General features: G+C 41.2%; 1 protein-coding gene and 1 long non-coding RNA gene across 6 annotated transcripts in view, besides 4 other annotated features; both read left to right on the plus strand.

Moving 5' to 3' along the window:
• TRIM38 (tripartite motif containing 38) overlaps positions 1–9,105 on the plus strand; it is a 28,430-nt gene extending 19,325 nt beyond the window's left edge. Inside the window, exon 8 of the mRNA NM_006355.5 lies at positions 1,038–9,105. Within this exon, the coding sequence (NP_006346.1) occupies positions 1,038–1,561 (524 nt within the window). The 3' untranslated portion in view covers positions 1,562–9,105. The remainder of the gene's footprint in view (positions 1–1,037) is intronic.
• Positions 10,350–10,659: a silencer, noted in NCBI's record as "silent region_16997". NCBI's record gives its function as "represses an Ori minimal core promoter by ATAC-STARR-seq in GM12878 lymphoblastoid cells {active_cell/tissue: GM12878}" and the evidence as "EXISTENCE:reporter gene assay evidence [ECO:0000049][PMID:35858748]".
• On the plus strand, positions 10,541–19,649 carry LINC02980 (long intergenic non-protein coding RNA 2980). 5 transcript variants are annotated; one of them, NR_186645.1, is made up of 3 exons: positions 10,541–10,792; positions 15,777–16,164; positions 19,124–19,649. It is a non-coding gene; the product is annotated as a long intergenic non-protein coding RNA 2980 (long non-coding RNA). The 5 variants fall into 5 exon arrangements; NR_186643.1 differs by having other exon boundaries at positions 15,777–16,159; positions 16,761–19,649; NR_186641.1 differs by having other exon boundaries at positions 15,777–16,159; positions 18,903–19,649.
• Positions 10,650–10,859: an enhancer, noted in NCBI's record as "active region_24171". NCBI's record gives its function as "activates an Ori minimal core promoter by ATAC-STARR-seq in GM12878 lymphoblastoid cells {active_cell/tissue: GM12878}" and the evidence as "EXISTENCE:reporter gene assay evidence [ECO:0000049][PMID:35858748]".
• Positions 16,757–17,391: an enhancer, noted in NCBI's record as "OCT4-NANOG-H3K27ac-H3K4me1 hESC enhancer chr6:25999111-25999745 (GRCh37/hg19 assembly coordinates)". NCBI's record gives its function as "activates a minimal SCP1, AML or CMV promoter by ChIP-STARR-seq in naive H9 embryonic stem cells {active_cell/tissue: H9 hESC(naive)}" and the evidence as "EXISTENCE:reporter gene assay evidence [ECO:0000049][PMID:30033119]".
• Positions 17,392–18,027: an enhancer, noted in NCBI's record as "OCT4-NANOG-H3K27ac hESC enhancer chr6:25999746-26000381 (GRCh37/hg19 assembly coordinates)". NCBI's record gives its function as "activates a minimal SCP1, AML or CMV promoter by ChIP-STARR-seq in naive H9 embryonic stem cells {active_cell/tissue: H9 hESC(naive)}" and the evidence as "EXISTENCE:reporter gene assay evidence [ECO:0000049][PMID:30033119]".
• Positions 19,650–24,883: the final 5,234 nt, after the last annotated feature.

Here is a 24,883-nt window from a genome sequence, read left to right on the forward strand (position 1 = left end):
AGCCTAGGGCATAAAACCCCTTGTGGCTTGGATGGAACCCAGGGCTCAGGGCATAAAACCCCTCATAGCCTCTGGAAAGTGCACAGACTTGTTGGTTCCTTGCTTTTCACTCATAAACGTGTCCTCTACTATCTCAAGCAGCAGAGTATATTCTACATGTGTCAAAGAAAATGCTAAACTGTCACAGCTACGCTTAATGCACCACTACCTTTCTACCCCCATGTCCTCATGCCCTCACCTGTTTACCCTCACGTCCTCACCACCTGCTTCTTTGTTTGATCACCAATAAATAGTGTGGGCTCCCAGAGCTTAGGGCCTTTGCAGCCTCCAATCTAGTGCTGGCACCCTGGACCCACTTTATGCACTCTTAACTTGTCTTTTCTCATTCCTTTGACCCCGCCGGACTTTGTAGCCCCCACGGCCTGGTGTTGGGCCTGATCACCCCAACAACTACCACTTATTAGGTGGTTACCATGTACCAGGAATTTTACCAAGCATTAAGCAAACATAAGCTTATTCAATCCTACCCACCATTCTCTGCAACAAATACGGTAATTTCCACTTTATAGTTAACAAACTGAGGCTCAGAAAGTTAAATGATTTGCCTAAGCTCACCCAGTTTATAAGAAACAATAGTTGGGTTTGAACACAGGCTGGTTTTATTGAAAATAACTTGTGGCTGGGCATGGTGGCTCACACCTGTGTAATCCAGCACTTTGGGAGGCCGAGGTGGGTGGAACACTTCAGGTCAGGAGTTTGAGACCAGCCTGGCCAACATGGCGAAACCCCATCTCTACAGAAAATTTAAAAAAATTAGCCACTTGTGGTGGTGCGCACCTGTAGTCGCAGTTACTCCGGAGGCTGAGGCAGGAGAATTGCCTGAATCCAGGAGGTGGAGGTTGCAGTGAGTTGAGATAGTGCCAGTGCACTCCAGCCTGGGTGACAGCAACACTCCATCTCAAAATAAAATAAAATAAAATAACCTGTGTTCTTCACAGCAACAAAATTATTTTTGTTTGTTTTGTTTTGTTTTGCAGTTAGTGTGACTCTGGATCCAGATACAGCTCATCACGAACTAATTCTCTCTGAGGATCGGAGACAAGTGACTCGTGGATACACCCAGGAGAATCAGGACACATCTTCCAGGAGATTTACTGCCTTCCCCTGTGTCTTGGGTTGTGAAGGCTTCACCTCAGGAAGACGTTACTTTGAAGTGGATGTTGGCGAAGGAACCGGATGGGATTTAGGAGTTTGTATGGAAAATGTGCAGAGGGGCACTGGCATGAAGCAAGAGCCTCAGTCTGGATTCTGGACCCTCAGGCTGTGCAAAAAGAAAGGCTATGTAGCACTTACTTCTCCCCCAACTTCCCTTCATCTGCATGAGCAGCCCCTGCTTGTGGGAATTTTTCTGGACTATGAGGCCGGAGTTGTATCCTTTTATAACGGGAATACTGGCTGCCACATCTTTACTTTCCCGAAGGCTTCCTTCTCTGATACTCTCCGGCCCTATTTCCAGGTTTATCAATATTCTCCTTTGTTTCTGCCTCCCCCAGGTGACTAAGGAAAAGAGCAGAAGCTCCTTGGTTTAACCAGCACAGAGAAAATAATATAAATCCCATAAGGGCAGACGTTTGGTCTGTTTTCTTCGCTGTCATTTCCTTAGTAGTTAGACTAGTGCTGAGATTTTAGTGGATATATAATTGATTTATGTTGAATATATGGACTTAGCAACTAAAAATACCACAGATGGTTAACCTGGACTGGGGCAAAGCAAGATAATAGTGATGATCGTATGTTGCTGTCTCCATCCGTCTTTAATGGGTCAGGGCTTTGATTTCCAAGGGTCTTCAGGTGATGAGTAGGGGTACCCACAAGTCAGAAGGTCTGCGTTCTCCTAGTTTGTTTGCTGCCATTTGAACTCATGTAGGGAATGAAAGAAAGCTGCAATTATCCGCCAACTGCATTTAAAACAAAACAAAACAGAAAAATCAAAATAACATTGACTCTTCCAACCACTGACATGTTGTTTAATAATCTAAGCGGCAGTCCTGGAGGCTACCAGACTTACTGAGTTCTACCTGAGAAACAGCCAAGCAAAGTGTGAGAGAAGGGTTAAGACTGGCTTACAATGAGATGCTTCAAATGAAAAGGGAATTATGAGTAAAATTGAACTTTGATGGGGGATTCAGTTCTGGAAAAGAATTTGGTATTTTCCAGTCTGCTAGGACCAATTACCTTGAAATATTTTAAAATCTCAGTAAATAGTTATTGCTGAAATGGCTGTTGGCAGTTCTTATTATGATTCAGAGAAGAGCAAATAGACCTTAACTTCATTTTGAAAAAGACCAAATTACCATACCCGAGTGAGTAATGACAGGACTACAACTAAAACATAAACAACATTAATGATGACCATAAAAAGTCACAAAATTGCTAAATGTTATAATTTAGAGTTGACATAAAAATTGATGGCCAGGCATGGTGGCTCACGCCTGTAATCCCAGAACTATGTGAGGCTGAGGCAGGTGGATCACTTGAGGTCAGGAGTTCAACACCAGCCTGGCCAACATGGTGAAACCCTGTCTCTACTAAAAATACAAAAATTAGCCGGGCATGGTGGTAGGGGCCTGTAACCCAGCTACTCGTGAGGCCAAGGCAGGAGAATTGCTTGAGCCTGCAGCAGCTGCAGTAAGCCAAGATCATGCTGTGCCTCAAGGAAAAAAAAAATTAATGTTTACTGATATTTGTTGAAGTCCTACAACATCACCTCTGAGAATAGGAGAAATGAAGCAACAGTTGTGTCTAGATGTCAGAGGCATGGCTGGGCCTCCATCTCTGCCTAAGGGAGATATAAAAGAGTTCAAACTATTGCCCATGTTCCCCAGGGTCAGAAGTTCTAATTATGATGATAGAGGCTGGGTTGTAAGTAGTAAGTGAAGGGTAGCAGAATATGCCATCTTTGGCATAAGAAGTATTTTGAGTTGAAGACAATTGAGAAAAAAAATAGATTAAAAACAAACAAACACCTCTGCCCTCTCCCTATTTGCCTAAAAGCAGGATATGAAATTGTGAAGGTGTCTTCTTACTCGGGGAAGAACAAAAGTTAGTCACCAGAGACTTTAGACTCTTATCAGCCTGGACATAGCACCAGAGAAGTCTTTTTTTTTAAAAAAAAAAAAAAAAAAAGGGAAAGAAAAAGTTGCCTTCCCACAATTTACTGCACTAGAAACTCAAAGTCCTTTTCGTCTTCCTTGTCACTTAAAAAATGTATTCTTTTCTTAAAATGCTATATAAGCCCAAGTTCTAAATCCTCTTTTGAGTATTCATCTCAGTACTCCCCTGTGTTTGTACAATGCACATGCTTTGTTTCTGTCTTGTCAATCTGTCTTTTGTTAGTCTACTTGATAGGGCCACAGATGGAGAACCTAAGATGAATAGAAAAAAAAGATTTTTCTCCCCAACAGAAGGATTATCGCCAGTTGCACTTGTTCTATATACCCGTAGTCTCGGTATGCTGACCCAGACTTGGGTAATAGGACCCAGTGGGTAACCGAGGAACCCCACCTTTGTGCAGGATCAGTGAAGATGTAATCTGGATATTCATAAGCTCTTCTCTACCTCTTGGCATCCCACAGTCCTGTGTTAATGTAAGTGTGGTCTTCCCCAGAAAGGGGAGGCCTCCCTAACATTGTTAAAGCCTAGCATATGCTGCTTAGAGGAAATTCTATATCCCTAAGCACTTAGATTGCTGAATAAGAAAGAATGATAATAAAATAAACAATTAAATAAAAGTTTTAAAAAATGAATAAAATAAACCTGTGGAAACTATAAGGAAGGCCAGAAGAAATATAAAATTGGAGATTAATTGGGGTGCAGGAAAGTTATGGAAAGAATATAAGTCCTGCTAGATAAATCATTAGCTATTTTAATAAAGAATACAGAAGAAAATAGGAACAAAAGAATATATACTGGAATAATTTTGAGAGTAATTTGAAGAATTAGATGCAAATAAATTTGAAAACCTTTAAAAAGAAACCAATGGCCTAACTGACCCAAGAAGGGAAAGAAAATCTAAACAGACTGATAAATACAAAATGAAATTCAGACACTTACAGAGCAGCCAGGCATGGTGGCTCACACCTGTAATCCTGTCACTTTGGGAGGCTGAGATGGGAGGATCACTTGAGGCTAGGAGTTTGAGACTAGCCTGGGCAAGGCTCCCATCTCTAAAAGAAAAGAAATTAGCTGGGCATGGTGGCATGTGCCTTAGTTTCAGCTACTCAGGAGGCTGAGACGAGGATTGCTTGAGCCTAGGAGGGCAAGGCTGCAGTGAGCCATGGTCATGCCACTGAATTCCAGCCTAAGTGACAGAGCAAGACCTTGTCTCAAAAAAAAAAAAAAAAAAAGTTACAGAGCTCCAACTAAATAATGTGGGGAACAAAAGAAAAAAGAAGATGATTTTATGGCTGATTTTTTTTTTAAGGAAAAGCAATTCATGTACCCTTGAAGATTAGATTAAGTTCTATAAAATAGCCCAAAATGACAGTGGCTGAAACAAGTTTATTTCTCTCCCATTTAAAGCAAGTCTAGATGTGGAAGTCTGGGAAGCCCAGAAAATCCAGGTCTTGTTTGTGTATGGAAACTCCAGAAAATCACAGATTCCTTCCAGCCACCCCTCAATTACCCCTGGGATCCAAGAGAGCCACTAAAGTTCCAGCCATCATACTCACAACCCAAGTTGTAGGATGGAAAAAAGGACACAAAAGTAGGGTGAAGAGCATGTGTGCAACAGCTCTCTTTTACTCTAGTGTCCTAAAACCTATCATAAAACCTTTGGCTTGCCTTGCATTAGCCAGAATTTAGTACATGGCCACACTTAAGAAGTCAGAAAGATTAGCTTTTTTTCCAGGGTAGTTGGCTGAAAATCAGGAGTTCTCATATTAAAAAACAGAGAAGGGACATCGAATAGATGACCAACAATCTCCTTCACACTCATACTATTTAAACTGTCCTAGTCAATGACCAAAAAAGAAAAGCCTACAAACTCATTGATATAAAAGCTTAACAAAGGTACTCCCCGCCCCCCGCCCGCCACACACCATCCCCAAAAGGAAATTTCTAATCCAATTAACAGTCTTAGGTTGGGCTGCTGAAACAAAATACCACAGCCTGAGTGACTTAAACAACGACAATTTATCTCTCACTGTTCTGAGGTCTGAGTTGATTCTTTGTGAAGGCCCTTTCCTAGCTTGCAGATGGCTACCTTCCTGCTATGTCTTCACATGGCAAAGAGAGAGCTAGCTTTCTGGTCTTTTCTTATAAGGGACCAGTCCCATCATGCCCATCATGAAGACTCGATCTGCTAGGATCTCAACTAAACCTAACTATCACCCAAAGAGCCCACCTCCAAAGACCATCACATTGAATGTGAGAGTTTCTACATATGCATTGTGGGAAACACAAACATTTACTTCAACTGTAACTATTGAAGCAAAAATGTCCCCCCACCATAGACATCCAGCACCACAGTAGTACATTTATTACAATTGAACTTACATTGACACGTCATTATCAACGAAAGTCTGTAATTTACATTAGGGTTTATTCTTGGTGTTGTGCTTTCTATGGGTTTTGACAAATGTATAATGTCATGTATTCACCATTATAGTATCACAGAAGTTTCACTGCCCTAAAAATCCTGTGTTCTGCCTTTTCAACACTTCCTGTCACCCAATTTCTATCAACTAATCTTTTGACTGTGTCCATAGTTACTGTCTTTTCTAGAGTGTCATACAGTTGTGAAGCAGGAAGCAGGAGTGAACTCCGGAGGCAGGGACTTTACTCCGGACCAGATTGAAGACTAGCCGAAACAGGGACGAGGTTAAAGCACCTCTCCATAAGACACGCCCACCAGCGCCATGTCAGTTTTTCGTTGCCATGGCAACAACAGGACATTATCGACTTCTTTCCTCTGTACCTACTCCGAAGTTACCACTCTTTTTCTAGAAATTTCTGCATAATCCCCCTTAACATGCACTTAACTAAAAGCAGGTATATTACTGCAGAACTGCCCCTGAGCTGCTACTCTGGGCACATTACTTATGGGTTAGCCCTGCTCAGCAAGGAGCAGTACCTGTTCTGCTGTTGTACACTGCTGCTTCAGTAAAAGTTGCTAACACCACCACTTCACCCTTGAATTCTTCCCGGGCTAAGCCCTAATTTTTGGCTTGCTTGCCCTGCATCAGTTGGAGTCATATAGTATGCAGTCTTTTCAGGTTGGCTTTTTAGTAACATACATTTAAGTTTCCTTCATGTGTTTTCATGGCTTGATCGTTTCTTTTCTTTTTCTTTTTCTTTTTTCTTTTCTTTCTTTTTTTTTTTTTTTTTGAGACAGAGGAGTCTTGCTCTGTTGCCCAGGCTGAAGTGCAGTGGCACTGGCTCACTGCAACCTCCATCTCCCAGGTTCAAACGATTCTCATATCTCAGCCTCCCGAGTAGCTGGGATTACAGGCTCACGCCACTATGCCCGGCTAATTGGGGTTTTCCCATGTTGACCAGGCTGGTCTCAAACTCCTGGCCTCAAGCAATCCACCCACTTCGGCCTCCCAAAGTGAATGCATTTCTTTTTAACTCTAAATAACATTCCATTATTCAGAAGTACCACAGTTATCCACTTACCTACTGAAAGACATCTTGTTTCCAAGTTTTGGATAAATTATGAATAAAGCTGCTATAAACATCTATGTGCAGGTTTTTGTGTGGAGATAAGTTTTCAATTCCTTTGGATAAATACTAAGGAGTGTGATTGGTGAATCTTATGGTAAAAGTATGGTTACTTTTGTAAGAAACCACCAAACTGTCTTCCAAAGTGATTGCACATTTTGCATTCTCACCAGTAATGAACAAGTTACTATTGCTACATATCTTTGCAACCTTTGGTGCTGACAGTGTTCTAAATTTTGGTCATTCTACTAGGTATGCAGTGGTATCTACTTGTTTTAATTTGCAGTTCCCTAATGACATGATGTCAAGCATCTTTTCATATGCATACTTGCATCTGTGTATCTTCTTTGGTGAACAGATGTTCAGGTCATTGGCCTGCTTTAAATCAGGTTATTTTCTTACTGTTGAGTTTTAAGTATTCTTTGTATATTCTAAAAATATTGTTCTTCATCAGATCTGTCTTTTGCAAACATTACCTGCCAATGTGTGGCTTTTCTTCAACACTTCTTTGTAAATTTGCAAGTCCTTTGAGAAAAGAAATGCACCCAAAGTATTAATTTGGCAATCTCATATCACGAGAGTACTCTAAAGCTAAATAAATTACAGTTTTTCAAATTTTGAATTAATTGATCTTTGCTATTGTTAGCAAGGTCTTGTATTCTTTTTTTTTTTTTTTTTTTTTTTTAATAGAGACGGGTCTTGCTACAGTGCCCAGGCTGGTCTCGAACTCCAGGCCTAAAATGATCCTCCTGCCTTGGCCTTCCAAAGTACTGGGATTACAGGCATAAGTCACCACGCTCAGCCATCTGGTATTCTTTAGCAACTGTTTGGTAACTTAATCTTTCACTTTTTGAAAACAAAAAATAGTTTTTTTCTCATAGTTTTCTAACAAAATCTTCATAACTGAAATAATTTCTCTTTATCACCTCTTCTTATAAATATGGTTTTCTTTTTTTAAATAAAAATTTAAGACATTTTATAACTGGCCAAATTTACTAGCTTAGATACTATTAGATAGTCAATATTTTTTGTTGGATATTTGATTTTTATTTCAGGCAACTAATATCTATTCATTTTTGCACTGTTGGAAGAAAATTACTGATCAAATTCACTATGTATTTGCAGAAAATGGCTTTCAATATTGTCTACTTTATCATCCTTTTTTTTTTTTTCTTTCTTCCTTTTTAGATACAGGGTCTCACTATGTTGCCCAGGCTGGTCTCCAACTTCTGGGCTCAAACAATCCTCCCTCCTTGGCCTTCCAAAGGGTTGGATATGTTTTATCTACAGTTTTGTTGTTTTGTTCTGCTACAGGATATTTGCAATTGCCATTTATCATGAAATTCATGACATACCTTCTTCCACTCTCCTTTTTATCTTTATTGTTCTGGTTATAGGACTAGCTTTGCATCTCTACTCAATTCTGTATCAGTAGTATGCTTTCATTTTAAATTTTAAGTTTGTCCATATGTATATTGACACAGGGTCTTGCTCTGTTGCCCAGACTGGAGTGCAGTGGCAAGATCAGGGCTCACTGCAGCCTTGACTGCCTAGGCTCAAGTCATCCTCCCACCTCAGCCTCCAGAATGGCTGGGACTACAGGCACGCACCACCACACATGGCTCATTTTTTTGTATTGAGACAGGGTTTCTCCATGTTGCCCAGGCTGGTCTTGAACTACTGGGCTCAAGCAATCCTCCCACCTTAGCCTCCCAAAGTGTTGGGATTACAGGCTTGAGCCACCATGCCTCGCTTCTACACTTATTTTTAATTCTAAAATAATTTATAATAATAAATATTAACAATTAGATTTAATTACTGATAAATATTAAATGTTAAATAGGTTTTATTAAATAATTAAATAAAAATGAAAATAATCAGTATTTCAATTTAATTACTAATTATAATTCACAGTTATCCTTGTAACTCCTAATGTCTATATAAAAGATTTTTATATTTTTTAATTCTTAAAATTTTATTATTTATTTCACACCAGGCCATCACTGTGATACATTTTTTAAAACACATTAAATTATCACCAGAAAAGTGCTGTGATGGAAAATATAAATTGAAATACCTTTTCTGGTTAGGAGAGTAATTCTGTTTTTCTGATAGAGAATAGAAGAGTCCTTCAGGCCCCTCCAAACTGTCATATTCCGGGCATCGGGTGTCCCCATCCTCACTTCAGTCCACAGGCAGGGTCCTCAGTCTTCAGCGCTCCTTCTCTTTCCCCTTTGTCTTGTGTCTCCTTGGGTCTCTTTTCTCCAAGACCTAAACTCCCTGAGGACAGGACTATTTTTTACATCTTGATGTCACTCCTGAGCACTTGCTTTAATGTGTTGGACACTGGGTCCATTAAAGATTGTATGTGAAATTATAAAAGAAACGTTTTCACCTTTCTGTGGTACAGCTATAATTTCTGGTTTCATTTACCAACTGGGTGAAAGTGGACCAGTGACACCATTTGTCTGGGCCTTCCTTTCCTGAAATATAATATTGGGGCAATAGTCCCTGGTTCTTGTAAGGTGTTCAGGCACAAAACGCTAGGCATGTAACATACTAAATGAGGTTTTCCCAGTTAATTTATATGATTGCAAAGGACGTTCATATACACGGTCTGCTAAAGAATTCTGGGGCCAATTAATCTCTGTGGCATGATGGGTAAGTCGATCCCTTCTCTGGGCGTCTATTACTTCAGAAAAGGCATGAACTCAATTTTAGGGACCACACAAAAAAATTTATTCACTATCGTGTAGGACTTGGTCATTAGAGAGCTTTTGTTTCTTTTTTTTAAAATTTTTTTTAATTTTTATTTTCGTGTATGTGAATTTAATGGAGAGCTTTTAAATAACCAGATATTTAAATAACCAGATAATACAGATGCCCGGCCTGCTCCAGACAAATTAGAAAAGTATGTAGGTGAGGAGGGACCAGCCAGAAGGCGGTTTCAGCTCTGGAGTGACACTGAACGTACTTCTCTTCCAGGGATGTCACGAGGTGTCAATTTCTCTGGCCTTACCCAGGTCCATGCCCGCCCCCAGGGGCCCCAAGAATGACTTCAGCACCCCACCCCCACCTCCCTCTCCAGATGTGGGTCCTGGGAGCGTTCAAGGCCCGTCAGTCACTCGAGCCACCCCTTGGCGGCTGGACCAAATCTTGGGCTGCCGCCTGGATCTGCAGCTGGAAAGCGCCGTGACCACCGGTGTCCCCAGCTGGAGCAGGGCGGGCTGCACGACTCGCGAGGACGCCCTGAACCGCGGCTTCCTCTTTCATAGCCGCAGGACTCGTGGTCAGAAGGCCGACTCCAAGCCTCAGCGGATCCACGAAATGGCCTCTTTGAGGCTGTGGTGAAATTTAAGATACCCTTTCCCTGCCATTGTTACTGACGTACTTCAGCAAACAGGTTAAAGTTCTGAAAGGACGTGGTCACGACTTTATATTTCTTACAGATTTGTGTCTCATGTTTTGTGCGTAAAAACCATTCGTCCTCATTTGAGATTCTCATATCCGTAATTCAGTTATACATAAAACTGAATTCAGTTATATCATAAAATGTTCCCATGCGGGGAATGATTCGTTGGGGTCTCAGCCTGAGGCCAGACGCAGCAGAGAGATCGGGAGTTGGGGGATGGCGGGCGGGGAGCGGAGAGGAGGCCGCCCGCCGCCAGACTCAGGGTCCAGCAGAGCAGCAAATGCTCCCCGGCTCCCAGCCAGGGCGCAGCTGCTGGCCTGGGGCCGCCCCTCACGCCGCAGGAGCCCCGCCCGCAGCGCCGGCCCTGCCCCTGGCCTGTGAGGGCGCCAGCGCCCCCTACAGCTTGCAGTCGCCCTGCGCGCCTCCCCGCGAGGCTTGTTTTCTAGCGCCTCTGGTGGGCCGCCTCCCGCAGGCCTGGTGTGAGCCTGGGGTCCGTTCTCACAGCTGGATCTGGGGTCTGAATGCCGCGCCCTCTGGAGAGCCACAGATGGGTCTCCGCTGATGCTTCTCTCAATTTCCTCTAAGAGCGAGAGCTCCGGGAAAGGAGCCGATCCTGGTGGAAGACTACAGGTCTGAGTCCACTGGACGAAAAACGAGGTGCGTTAAGAGACCGCGGGAGTGGGGAAATGGGGAAGTGAGGGTGGGGACTGGGCAATGGGGGCGGGACGAGAGGTCTGGGGCTGGCGGGGACAGGGCTTAAGAGAGAGCCACCCCTCCTAGCCTTGAAGCTGTACCGAGCTTCCCTGTGATATTTTAAAATGCAAAAGTACAAAAATTGAAGTAATGGAACTATGCGTACGCACCTCCTAGATTTTTAAAGGTTAACGTGTGACTGTGTTTACTTCAGATGTTCCTGAAATAAATGAAAATGACCAGTTAAAATGAAGGAAGAACGCGCTTGCGTCCCTCCTAGAGGTCAAACACTCTTCTGAGGATAGGTTGTATGCTCTCAGCGCCTCTTTTTATTAAAAGTATTAAGAAGTACTTTTCCAAATATTAGATGTAGTGTGTCATATCATTTAAACGATTTTTTTTGTTTAAAATAGTCTTTTAAAAATAATCTTTTTATTTTTAGATTTTTTTGAGACAGAGTCTCGCTGTGTTGCTCAGGCTGGAGTGCAGTGGCGCCATCTCCCCTCACTGCAACCTCTGCCTCCCAGGTTCAAGTGATTCTCCTGCCTCAGACTCCCAAGTAGCTGGGATTAAAAGCGTGAGCCACCACACCCTACCAATTTTTGTATTTTAGTAGAGATGGGGTTTCACTATGTTGTCCAGGCTGGTCTCGAAATCATGACCTCCACTAATCCACCTACCTCGGCCTCCCAGAGTGCTGAGATTACAGGCATAAGCCACCGTGCCTGGCCACTTTAATCATTTTTGTTTTTGCATCTAGTCTAAGAAATTCTGCACTAAAATTCTGCACTATTTTCTTCTAAAATTTTAAAACATTTTCTATCTGTGTCTTTGTTAGATGTAGAAACTTTTGTGTATGATATGGGGTATAGCTATAATTTTATTTTTATTCCATATGAAAGCCAGTTTCTCAGCCCAGGTAATTGAATAGACCATCCTTTCTCCACCAACTCTTAAGGCTACTTCTGCTCTATTGTGTTCATAGTAGTTTCTAGGCTTTCTGTTTTGTTGTACTGATTTCTTCACCTATTTTTGCATCAAGGCTCTCCTCTTGGGGAAATAAAACAATCCTGCCAACCAAAGACCCCTCTGGATCCTCAAACACGCCATCAGCATGGAAGGCCGCTATGGCATAGCGAGAGATAAATAGGATTCAGGCAGTGCTGTCCTTACATCGCAATCATTCAGGTAGTTAGCAGGAGCATCAATCAGTACAGATATCCAGAGCTGATGGTCTTATTTGTATGAATGCCCAGTGCATATGGGATTGGAGGGGAGGGCTTGGAGTGGGATGAGGGGCTAGTGGGATCCAGAAAGGGGCTAGTCTTCAGGTCTTCCCTGGAGAGTATGTAATCTCTTATAACTAAGTGTTGATTTTTGTTTTGTTTGTACCTTCTTTAGATATTGAAGTATTCGCTAAGGCTTAACATGTAATATATTTAAATCTTCATATGAATACGTTTATCTGATAGATTTTGGTGAGACATAAACTATGAAACAAACAGAAAGATGGAACATGAGAAAGGGTCAAGGGTGGCCTTGGTTAGGGATGGCAGCTTTTACAACTATGAGCTAAGATAAAATTTAGAAGGTTTTCTTTTTATTTTAATTAATCATACCACTATTTTTCTCCTTTAATTTCCATATATAATGAGTTGATTGTAGTATTTTTATTGTGCTTAACTATTTTAAGATAATAGTTGTCTCTCCTCATTTTAGCAAATAATATATTTAATGAAAAATCAACTTTATTGAGGAATAATTTATACACAGTAAAATACACCTGTATTAATTATACAATTTGATGCGTTTTATATACCCAAACAGTTACTACTGTAATCAAGTTACAGAACACTTCCGTCAACCTAGATAGTTTCCATTTGTAGTATCACCTGTGCCGCCTCTTCCATCCTCTTGGCCCCAGGCAGCCACTGATGTACTTTCCATAATTACAGCTTAGTTTTCCCATTCCTAAAATTTCATATGAATGGAATTTATATCATATGTATTTTTTATTTTCCTTCACATTTTTGAGATTCATCCATTTTGTGTATATATCAGTAGTTTATTCCCTTTTATTGCTTTATAATATTCCAAGATATAGATATATTGCAATTTTTTTTTTTTTTGAGATGGAGTTTCCATCTTGTTGCCCAGGCTGAAGTGCAATGGCATGGTCTTGGCTCACTGCAACCTCCGCCTCTTCGGTTCAAGTGATTCTCTTGCCTCAGCCTTCCGAGTAGCTGGGATTACAGGCGCCCGTGACCATGCCCAGCTAATTTTTTAGTAGAGATGGGGTTTCACCATGTTGGATGGGCTGGTCTCAAACTCCTGATCTCAGGTGATCCGTACATCTTGGCCTCCCAAAGTTCTGGGATTACAGGCATGAACCACTGCGTCTGGCCGATATATTACAATTTATTTACCCATTCACCTGTTGATGGACACGTGGGTTGTTTCCAGTTTATAGCATTGTGAAACAAAGCCAGTATGAACATTTGTACATGTCATAGTATGGACATGTGTTCATTTATCTGGGAGAAATGACCCAGAAATATTGCTGGGCTGTATAAGTGTTTAATTTTATGTTAGAAACAGCCAAACTTTTTTCAAAGTAGTTGTAACATTGTCCTCTTACATTCACAATATATGAGAGTAGTTTCCTCCACACCCTTGCTCACCCTGGGGATTGTCAGTCCTTTTAACATTAGCTATTCTGTTGAATGTGAAGTATCTCATTGTGGTTTTGACTTGCATTTCCCTAGTAACTAATGATGTTTAAAATCTTTTCATGTGCATACTGGCCATTTGTATGTTTTCTTTTGTGAAATGTCTGTTGAAAACTTTTACTCTTTGTTTTGGCTTGTCATCTTACTAAGTTATAAGGTTCCTTATATTTTCCAGGTGCGAGTCCTTTGTCAGATACATGTATTATAAATATTTTCTCTCAGCCTGTGATTTTTCTTTTTCTTTTCTATTTATTTATTTATTTATTTATTTTTTAGGAAGAGTCTCACTTTGTCACCCAGGCTGGAGTGCAGTGGCACCATCTTGGCTCACTGCAACCTGTAGCTCCCGGGTTCCAGTGATTCTCATGCCTCAGCCTCCTGCTTTTCATTTTATAATGTTTTTTGAAAAGCAAATTTTCACTTTTGATGAAATTTATCATTTTGTTATTTATGTTTTATAAACTATAAACCTGTTGTTTTGTTTTAAAGAAATCTTTGCTAATCCTAGGGTGTTGATGATTTTCTCCTATTTTTTAAAGAAGTTTTATAATTTTAGCTTTTACATTTAAGTCTATGGTCTATTTTGAGTTAATTTTTGCATAAAGTTTGAGGTAAGGCTCCTGCTCCTCTCCCCCACACCGGATGTCTACTTGTTCAAGAAACATTTACTGAAAAGACGATTTTTTTACTTATTAAATAGCCTTGACACCTTTGTCAAAACCAGTTGTCCATAGATGTGTGAATCTATTTCTGGGTTCTCTGTTTTGTTTCACTGATCTTTGTGTCTAACCTTATACCAATTCATTCTGAAATACTTTCCAGATTACTATAGCATTTTAATAAAATTTTGATTGAATAGTTTAAGCCCTCGGACTTTTTTCCTTTTAAGTATATCAACTTGGAGAGGATTGATTCATATTTGTGTTTCATTTTTTCATTTTTCAAAATTATGTTTCAAATTGACATAATAATTATATGTATATATGGGGTGCATAGTGATGTTCTTTTTTTAAAAAATATTTATTTATGTATTTATTTATTTTTGAAACAGAGCCTTGCTCTGTTACCCAGGCTGGAGTGCAGTGGCGCGATTTCGGCTCACTGCAACCTCCGCCTCCTGGGTTCAAGCAATTCTCTTGCCTCAGCCTCCTGAGTAGCTGGGATTACAGGCACATGCCACCACGCCTGGCTGATTTTTGTATTTTTAGTAGGGATGGAGTTTCACTATGTTGGCCAGACTGGTCTCTAACTCCTGACCTCAAGTGATCTGCTTACCTTGGCCTCCCAAAGTGCTGGGATTACAGGTGTGAGCCACTGCGCCCAGCCCATAGTGTTATTTTTATACATACTGTGTATAGTGATCAGATCAGGGTAATTAATTAGAATATCCATTATTTCAAGCATTTCTCATTTCTTTGTGTTGGAAACATTCAATGTCCTCTTTTCTAGCTCTTTGAAATTATTTATTACTGTTAACTATTGCCATTCTGTAGTACAAATAGAACACTAGAACTGATTGCTCTTATCTAGCTGTAACTTATTTTAACGAATCTCTCTTTATCATCTCTTTCCCCTACCATTCCCAGCCTCTAGTAATCTCTGTTGTACTTTTTACTTCAATGAGATAAACTTATTTACTTAGTTAGCTAGCTTCTGCATATAAGTGAGAACATGTGGTGTTTAACTTTCTGTTTCTGGCTTATTTCACTTAATGTAGTATCCTGCAATTCCATCCATGTTGCTACAAATGACAGGATTTCATCCTGTCATGAACAAACAAAAATTTGCCAAAACAAAAATTACCTTAGTTATCACATTTCTTTTATTGACATAATTCATAATCATCAGAATCATCTGACTTGTACATCATTGTATCAGTTGGTTTTATGCTCAAGATGTTGTATTGGTTCATTATTGTCTTAATATCCCAACCAACCCAATCTAGACATAAATGCTGGCCCCTGTGACATGGCAGGAAAGGGAGACAGGCCTGGGCCAAGCATAGTGATAGCAATGCACCTGTGTTTGAAGCTGTTAAATATTTGCTACAGTCGTATTCCTAGACTCAAAATTAGATTCTTGTTAAGTCCTACTTGTCAGTGTCTATGGCTGTGTGAGTTCTGGTTAGTAGAAGGTGGGCAAAAGTGATGTGTATTCTTCCATAACTGGTCCATAACCACCTACCACTCACAATACTCCATGCCTTTTTTTCTCTTCAGGCTCCTTGGATTAGAGACCATCCTGAGGACATCCTTGGGAGCCATGTGCTGAAGATGGCCAAGCCACAGGATGAAAGGAGCTGCATCTTTGAGTCACCACTGGAGAAAGGTCTCTCTAAATGGATTTGCAGAGACGTCTTCTCGAATACTCCCCTTCTAAGTTCCACTTGTAATCCACTTCTTCTATTCTCCCAGCAATCAATGTGGTTTGGGGAAATTCCAGAATCTCATAATACCTTGGTCATGGGTAAATAAGGAAAGGACCTTTACATACATGTGATGCAAAGCAGATCAAAACAAGCAGAGCAGCCTAAGAGCAGCAAGACCCCAAAGGATAAGGGAAGTCCTGCAGAAGAGCAGAGCGGTGCTGCAAAGGCAGGCAGGTAAGGTAAGCAGACAGGGCCATCAGGATGGATCCTTTGGGCATGCCAGCATCCACCAGGGACTGGTAGAGCTATTTAGAGAAACTGATAAAAAGCTCTGCCAACTACAGTCACAAAAGATGGAGCTCAGAATGATGAGTAGATGCCTAAAACATCTCCATTTTGTTGATGAAGAAAGTAAAGTTTATAGAGCTTAGATTATTTGCTTTTGTACCTAGCACAGTACTTAGTTTATAGTAGATGCACAATAAGTATTTGTTTAATGAGTGAATGAGTCACTAGCCTAAGACCTTTAATATAACATGCTTAAACCTGCTACCAGGGATTGGGAACTCACCTATTTAGTAGTGAGTAGAGGGGTGTGGTACTGGTACTTAAGACAGATGCATTGTGGTTGGGTATGGTGTGTTTTTGTTTTTGTTTTGAGACAGGTTCTCCCTCTGTTGCCCAGGCTGAGATGCAGTGGCATTATCATGGCTCACTGCAGCCTTAACCTCCCGGGGCTCAAGCGATCCTCCCACCTCAGCCTCTGAGTAGCTGGGACCACAGGTACGCATCACCGTGCCTGGCTAATTTTGTTTTTTGTTTGTTTGTTTTGTAGGGACGGGATTTTGCCATGTTGCCCAGGTTGGTCTCGAACTCCTGGGCTCAAGCTACACCCGCCCGCCTCGGCCTCCCAAAGTTGTAGGATTAAGGTGTGAGCCACTGTGTCCAGCAGATATAATGTTTTTAAAAGTTTGAGAGTTAATATGCTCTCTGGTGTGCCCTAGGTCCCACTACTCCTATTGCCTTAAAACTCACGCAGTACACATTTGTCTTCCATGGGCTTCAGTTGTAAGAGAACCCTTTCTACTCTTTGCTGTTCACAAGTCTCCTTTTAAACAGAGCTTGTTCCCAATGCTGTTTTGTTTTGCCCTCTGCCATGTTCTTCCGGCCATCACCTCCTGTGGGGAAAAGAGAGAGAGATCACATTGTTACTGTGTCTGTGTAGAAAGAAGTAGACATAGGAGACTCCATTTTGTTCTGTACTAAGAAAAATTCTTCTGCCTTGAGATGCTGTTAATCTAACCCTAGCCCCAACCCTGTGCTCCCTGAGACATATGCTGTGTCAACTCAGGGTTAAATGGATTAAGGGCTGTGCAAGATGTGCTTTGTTAAAGAAATGCTTGAAGGCAGCATGCTCGTTAAGAGTCATCTCCACTCCCTAATCTCAAGTACTCAGGGACACAAAACACTGAGGAAGGCCACAGGGACCTCTGCCTAGGAAAGCCAGGTATTGTCCAAGGTTTCTCCCCATGTGATAGTCTGAAATGTGGCCTCGTGGGAAGGGAAAGACCTGACCGTCCCCCAGCCCGACACCCGTAAAGGGTCTGTGCTGAGGAGGATTAGTAAAAGAGGAAGGAACGCCTCTTTGCAGTTGAGACAAGAGGAAGGCATCTGTCTCCTGCTCGTCCCTGGGCAATGGAATGTCTCAGTGTAAAACCCGATTGTATATTCCATCTACTGAGATAGGGGAAAACTGCCTTAGGGCTGGAGGTGGGACATGCTGGCAGCAATACTGCTCTTCAAGTCATTGAGATGTTTATGTGTATGCATATCTAAAGCACAGCACTTAATTCTTTACCTTGTTTATGATGCAGAGACCTTTGTTCACGTGTTTACCTGCTGACCTTCTCTCCACTATTATCCTTTGACCCTGCCACATCCCCCTCTCCGAGAAACACCCAATAATGATCAATAAATACTAAGGGAACTCAGAGGCCGGTGGGATCCTCCGTATGCTGAACACCGGTCCCCTGGACCCCTTTTTTTCTTTCTCTATACTTTGTCTCTGTGTCTCTTTCTTTTCCAAGTCTCTCATTCCACCTAACGAGAAACAACCACAGGTGTGGAGGGGCAGCCCAACCCTTCAACCTACCTATCTTATCTCTTCCATTATCTATCCACATATGTCCTCTGTATTTTTTTGAGTAACATTTATAAGCATAAGTCCTTAGGTAGCTATGCCACTTACATAATGAACTAGAAAAGGTAACCAAACAGAATAGGGTTGTACTCAGATATACCTTCTACAAGTTTGTGTTACACATATTTACACATATTTAAAAATATATACATATTATTATTGTGCTGTGTGGTTATTAGGCAAACTCAATAAGCAGTTCTTATAAAGTATACTCAATGTAACTTTTATAAACTTACCATATTTTATAGTTATTCTGTTTTTATTAGCTGCTATAAACTACCTGGGTGTCTTGCATGAGTCATTTTATTGTAATGTTTTTGTATCTGTTGAATGAGGAGTTAGAAGGCATCATCTTTAAGGAGCTTTACAGGTACATGTCCAGGGCTCAATAATTTTATTATTATTTCCTGGACAGATAAAACCTAAGCAGGTGAAGGGGAAAGAATAAAAGTGCAGGGTGGAAGTTGCTTGAATGCTAACTGGGTCAACGATCTCCCAGAAAACCCCTGTAAAAGAAACCTAAGAACCTACATCACCAGGAGACCATTGGGACCAGTTCCTCTGGAATCCCTGAGGCCAGATAATCAGCTGAAGCTTTACATTCTGTCCCTTTCTGGTCATGACTTTCTCCACAGTCTGCTTGGTGCCTCCTCCTCTGTGACTCTAAATTCTTAGGATCAACCCCTCTTGCATATGCACATCCGCAGTGCCTGTGGGATACGGTGTGGTGTGGGGAGGAAACTCTCTTCTGCCTTAATATTTTCCTGTGTGCCCCAGGCCTTGACGGAATCCTGTCTCTCCATAATGTTGCTTTTCGAGGAGACTGATTGATTGAGATGGCGTCTCACTTTGTCGCCCAGGCTGGAATGCAGTGGCGTGATCTCGGCTCACCAACCTCCACCTCCAAGGCTCGAGTGATTCTCCCACTTAAGTCTCTTGAGTAGCTGGGACTACAGGTGCATGCCACCACGCCTGACAAATTTTTTTATTTTTTGTAGAGATGAGGTTTCGCCATGTTGACCAGGCTGGTCTCAAACTCCTGGACTCAAGTGATCTGCCCACCTCGGCCTCCCAAAGTACTGGGATTACAGGCATGAGCCAATGTGCCCGTCCTGAGGAGTTTTCTTCTGGAATTCCTGCTGGGTTTTTGTAGTCAGTCCTCTCCCCATTTCCCACATTGGCTCTTGCAGACCTTCCTTTTCCCCATTTCTATTTGCTACCATGTCAGACATGACTTTTGCCATAGGATCTCTATTCTACTATAGAGGAAACCAAAGCCATCAGTAGAAATTTCACTAACATGGAATCAGATTTATAGAAGAAAGGGGGAGGAAAGTTTTGCCTTAACACCTGGAAGGGTTTCGTTTCTTTTAGTAGCTGGGAGACAGAAACATAAGAAAGTAGCTTAGTAAGCTTTCTGCTGTTCAACTGATGATGTGTGAGCTGTCAGTAGTTCAAACTAGTCATTATCTTTATGAATTAATTATGTAATAACTTAAACAATGTCATAAACCTTCAAATCAGTTTAAGTCTAAATGTGTCATATTTAATAACAAGAGCAAGAAACATACGTTATGATGAAGAGCTCTTATATTTTCTTTGGATAAAAGTCAGTAGGCGGGGCGCGGTGGCTCATGCCTGTGATCCTAGCACTTTGGGAGGCTGAGGTGGGCAGATCATGAGGTCAGGAGATCGAGACCATCCCGGCTAACACGGTGAAACCCTGTCTCTACTAAAAATACAAAAAATTAGCTGGGCGTGGTGGCGGGCGCCTGTGGTCCCAGCTACTCGGGAGGTTGAGGCAGGAGAATGGCGTGAATCCGGGAGGCGGAGGTTGCAGTGAGCCGAGATTGTGCCACTGCATTCCAGCCTGGGCGACAGAGCAAGACTCCGTCTCAGAAAAAGAAAAAAAAAAAAAGTCAGTAAAATTTAAGAGAAAAATGCATTTGCTTTGGGACTTTTAATATTTAGTCTACAAATCTAGCCACCATAGAAATCTGCTGATTAAATACGGGTTCTGTTAAAATGGAAACATGCATTTTGGGGGAAAAAAGAGGGAGTGTTTTAGTGATTTTGTTTTTTACACTTGTTTATAATAAAATTTTAAGCAATCTTGAGGGGAACATTTTATTTCTACTTGTAACTGCATAAAGTTATGAGATAAAGTTACAAGCTATATCACATACAGTTTGTAGCTTTATAAATTATGAAATTCTAACAGAATAAATATGCTAATATGATGAAAATGTCATAAATTACATTAGAATATATTTTAATAAACCAATTCAGAAGGAGCCAATACCCAATTTCAAAATCATATTAATTGTAAAATTAATTAGGGCAGCCAAAATATTCTGGAATTCTTTCTAATAAAACAAATGAGTGTAAATACAGTCGTACTGACAAATCTGAAGAATTATGCAGCATAAAAAGTGATTATCCCAGCACTTTGGGAGGCCAAGGTGGGCAGATCATGAGGTCAGGAGTTGGAGACCAGCCTGACCAACATGGTGAAACCCCGTCTTTACTAAAAATACAAAAATTAGCCGGGCTTGGTGGTGCACACCTGTAATCCCAGCTGCTCAGGAGGCTAAGGCAGGAGAACTGCTTGAATCCAGGAGGTGGAAGTTGCAGTAAGCCAAGATCACGCCACTGCACTCCAGCCTGGGCGACAGAGTGTGACTCTGACTCAAAAAAAAAATAAATAAATAAAAATAAAAGTTTTAAAAAAGTGATTATTATGAACACAGAGTAATCTAGTAAAAATGGTTAAGTGAAAACAGCAAAATACAAAATTGAATATGTACTATAACAATATATGCAAAATATACTCAGATTTATAAAAATTAGAATGTAGAAAAGTAAATATAGCTCTTCATAATTTTGTTCTGAAGTTTAAAAATATATATATTTTTGAATGGATAACTTTCTTTTTCTAAATGCTTACAGTAGAGCCCACGATGGTTGTTAAAAGCCCCCAGGTTCAGCCTTCTTTAATTGTGTGGTCAGCCTGCCATCAACCCGAGGCCTCCCTCTGCTGGGCAAATTTGGGAACACATTGAGAAATCCTTACACGTAATTCCTTCTCTTCATGTTCCTGGTGAGCATTTTTCCCATTGGGTTTCCATACTCTGCCCTCTTGAAGTCCTGCACCCTGACATTGCAGTGTCATTCCTCTTCTACTGAAGTCTACAACTATTAGCTTATTGTCTCTAGCAAGTCTCCCTTTAGCTACAAATATCATTCAGAGTTTTACCTTTCAGAAACTTTCTCCATGAGCATTCTGGAGTAGACTCTAGGTGCACTAGGTGCAGTTAGAAAAAGTTCTGATTTGTTGGTGGAGCTATAGGAGGAGAGACAATGGTGGGCTGGAGAAGGGTGTCTACATGCAGAGAAACTGACTGGAAACTCAGAGAGATGATGGGGATTAAAATAATCCTATTGAATCTGCACAAAAGTGTTTTATTATAATTGATCCTGAACTATGTAAAGGTAAGCTCCAGTGAGTAGTTACAGTCTGTCCCTAAGATGGACTCTTTCTTTTTGCTTTTATTTTTATTGTATTTATTTTATTGTATTTTTTTTTTCTAAAGACAGGGTCTTGCTATGTTACCCAGGGTGGTCTCAAGTGGTCCTCCTGGCATCAAATGATCCTCCCACCTCAGCCTCCCAAAGCGCTAGGATTACAGGTGTGAGCTACCACACCCAAATGATTCTTTCTTTTCAAATACAGAGTTCAGCAGCAATTTTAAAGAAGTACTGAACTCTACTGCCTGGAAGATGGAATGGCCCTCACAATTCTTCCAGGCAAGCTCTGCACTCAGTGGTATGGACCACAAGGCAAGCCCATTAAGGGGTTAAATTACTGACAAACAATAATTTCTAAATATGAACATTTCAGGAGGAACTAAGATGGCTCCTTCTTGGAGAATAAGTTGGCCGGCTTCTCTAGTTATCAGACTATCAGATGGGGAGGAAAGAGCCCCTCTGTCCCGGTGAGACAGGACCCGCCAGCGCCCAAGCTCTAAGGCTTTCTGATGAGCAAATGGGGTTTCCATCTTTCTAGCTTCAGGACTCGTAACTACTCAGATTATTTCCTTCAATCTGGATATTCAAGACAAGAACAGTTCATGGTGTTGCGAAGGCCCAGATTTAAATCACATATGCAAAGATACTGACATTCAGTGGAGGGTCACTTAGATTATAGCCAGATGACTTTCCCTAAATTGATAGCTCAAATGGTAGTTGTGGATATTTTTGCTCTTAGTTACTTGCATAGTCACTTGCCAGAGGTAATAAAGTTTTAGTGTGGTTGTGGAAAATAATGGCCATATATTTAGGAACAAAATTTTAATGATGATTGAAAACTGAATTAGCTTTAACATGTGAATATGCTCAGGGGACATAGGACCACAGATCTCTGTTCCTTCCTATTGCCACTTCTTTCCTTTCCCTGGTAGCATGCTTCCATTACCCATTACTTCAAACACTGTTTCTGTGTCTCCAACTCCCTTGCATCATGGTCTTTTCATTATTCAGACACAGACACAGCTCGATTATGGGTAAACTTTTTTCTGTGGCTACAGAAGAGTTGAGCATGGCTGAAGCATCGTTGAGCATGACTGAAGAAAAACACCTAACCTTGAATTTTTTGATCAATATAAATTTATATCCACAGATTTTACCTGACTGATCTTCATTGCCCACCAGTCCTACAAAGTTTGCCAGATTGGTTCTGTTTCCACTTTACATACTCAGCAAATACTTATTAAGCACACACTTTGTGTTAGGCTTAAGTGTAGATATTGAAGAGGCACTGGTGAATGAGCAGAGGCTCTGCCCCCATGGGACCTGCATGCTATTTGGCAGCTCTTTCAGACATTCTCCTCTCTCAAAGCTTTGAGCCCCTCTATACCCCTATAAGCACCTACTTTCAGCTGCTCCCTCACTCCCCCCTTCATGGGGGAAATAACAGCCATCGTGGTAAAACCTCCACTGCCTGACAGAGCTATATTTACCATCTTTTCTTTAATTTTTATTTTTAATGGACACAGTTGTATATATTTATGGGGTACTATGTGATATTTTGATACATGTATAGATTGTGTAATGATCAAATCAGGAATTAGATCAGTTTTTTGTCTTTTTTTTGGTAAAAGATAATCTTTTATACTCTTTTGGTCCTGAAAAATGGAGGAGTGCCATATTAGGATTCCAACAGAAAAAGTTAAACCAAAAGAATATATGAAGGGCATATAATGAAGGGATATCTACAAAGTTGTGACAGGGCTAATGGGAAGAACAGGGGATATGAGGCAGCCCAAGATCAGCAACAGTAGTGATCCAGTGTCACCCTGTGCTGGTTATGAAGATTTAGTCTCTTCTATCTTTTCCAATACCGCTTTGCTAGCCACCTCCCCAAACCCTACCAATAGAAAGCACTGGAGGAAGACTAGAGGGCTGGAAGGATGTGAAAAGATTTCCCACTTTGTTTGTTGACATCCTCACAGAATGGGTTCTTCAACCTGGCAGTGGCAGTTGAATCCAGTAACAGCAGTTGGCTTCAGTTTGGAGATCTTCCATGCTCCTAAAATCAGCCTCATCATGCCTCTATCTACAGACATATCATCATCAGTGGTCCAGCATACACTCCTCAGAGGTCCCAGTTCTGGGGATCTCTTCAAAGAATCTTTTCCTTGTTCTCCTAAACCTGGAGGTGGTAGTTGCTTTCTGTCATTACTATCTCTGATACGTTTGTCCACTTTTCCATTTTCAGTCCTCTTATAACTAGTTAACAACCATTCCCATAAAATTCTTTGTTCAATTTCAGTGCAATTTCTAGCTCCCAGTTATACCCTGACAGACACACCTTTAAATCTGAAGAGGCAATGGGAGGGAACCTGTAACCAGAGCTAGGCCAGAGCTGGGACTGTGGAGGAAGAGCTGCCCACCAAGCAGGGGGGTGATGCAGGGAATAAGTACACTAACCTCTCTCTCCTTTGCCATCTACATTCCTGCTGGGCTGATCACTGGCCAAATCCAGCTGTTGCAAGAGGGCAGGGCTGCCCAGCTAATGCTATCTGTAGAAGCTGGGCTTCTGGGGCACAGAGCAAGTCAGAGACAGGCAGAACAGGGATGTGGGTTTGGACCAAACACTGAATAAACCAGATCAAGGATTCTTCTATCAAGACAAGTTTATATACTTGCAGCTTGATCCCATTGTTTCCCTTAGATAACTGTGCACTTGTTTTTGTCTGCCCTCTTTCCTGTGTCTACACTCTTCCTGTCTTATTCTATTTACACATAGCTCAGTCTTTTCCAATTAAAAAAAAAAAAAAAAAGCTTTCCCTCTCCCAAATCTCCATGCAGCTGCTGACTTCTCTCTTCCAAAGCCACACTGTGGGAGAGTCAGTTACACCTCCTGACCTCTGACAGGTGCAACACACTATAGTGAGGCTTCTGCCCTTGGTATTCCTCTGGCTCCATTATTTACAAGGTCACTAATGACTTCCTATTTCTAAATCCAGAGTGCCTTTTTAGTTATCTTCCTTGCCTTCTTGGCATCTCTAGATAACAATACTTGTCTCATTCTAACTTTTGTCTCTCCTTACAGCTCTTTCATTCATAATTCATTGTTATTCAGTTGGAGCCTTGATGGTGTTAGGGAGAAGCAGCATTCTGTAGTCAAAGTGTTAAGCCTCAGTTTATTAGCATGCCTATATCTTGGGGCTGGGACCGTCACAAGTGTTTATAATGAT

The sequence above is a fragment of the Homo sapiens genome, chromosome 6 (assembly GCF_000001405.40).
Source record: "Homo sapiens chromosome 6, GRCh38.p14 Primary Assembly".
Lineage (NCBI taxonomy): Eukaryota > Metazoa > Chordata > Mammalia > Primates > Hominidae > Homo > Homo sapiens.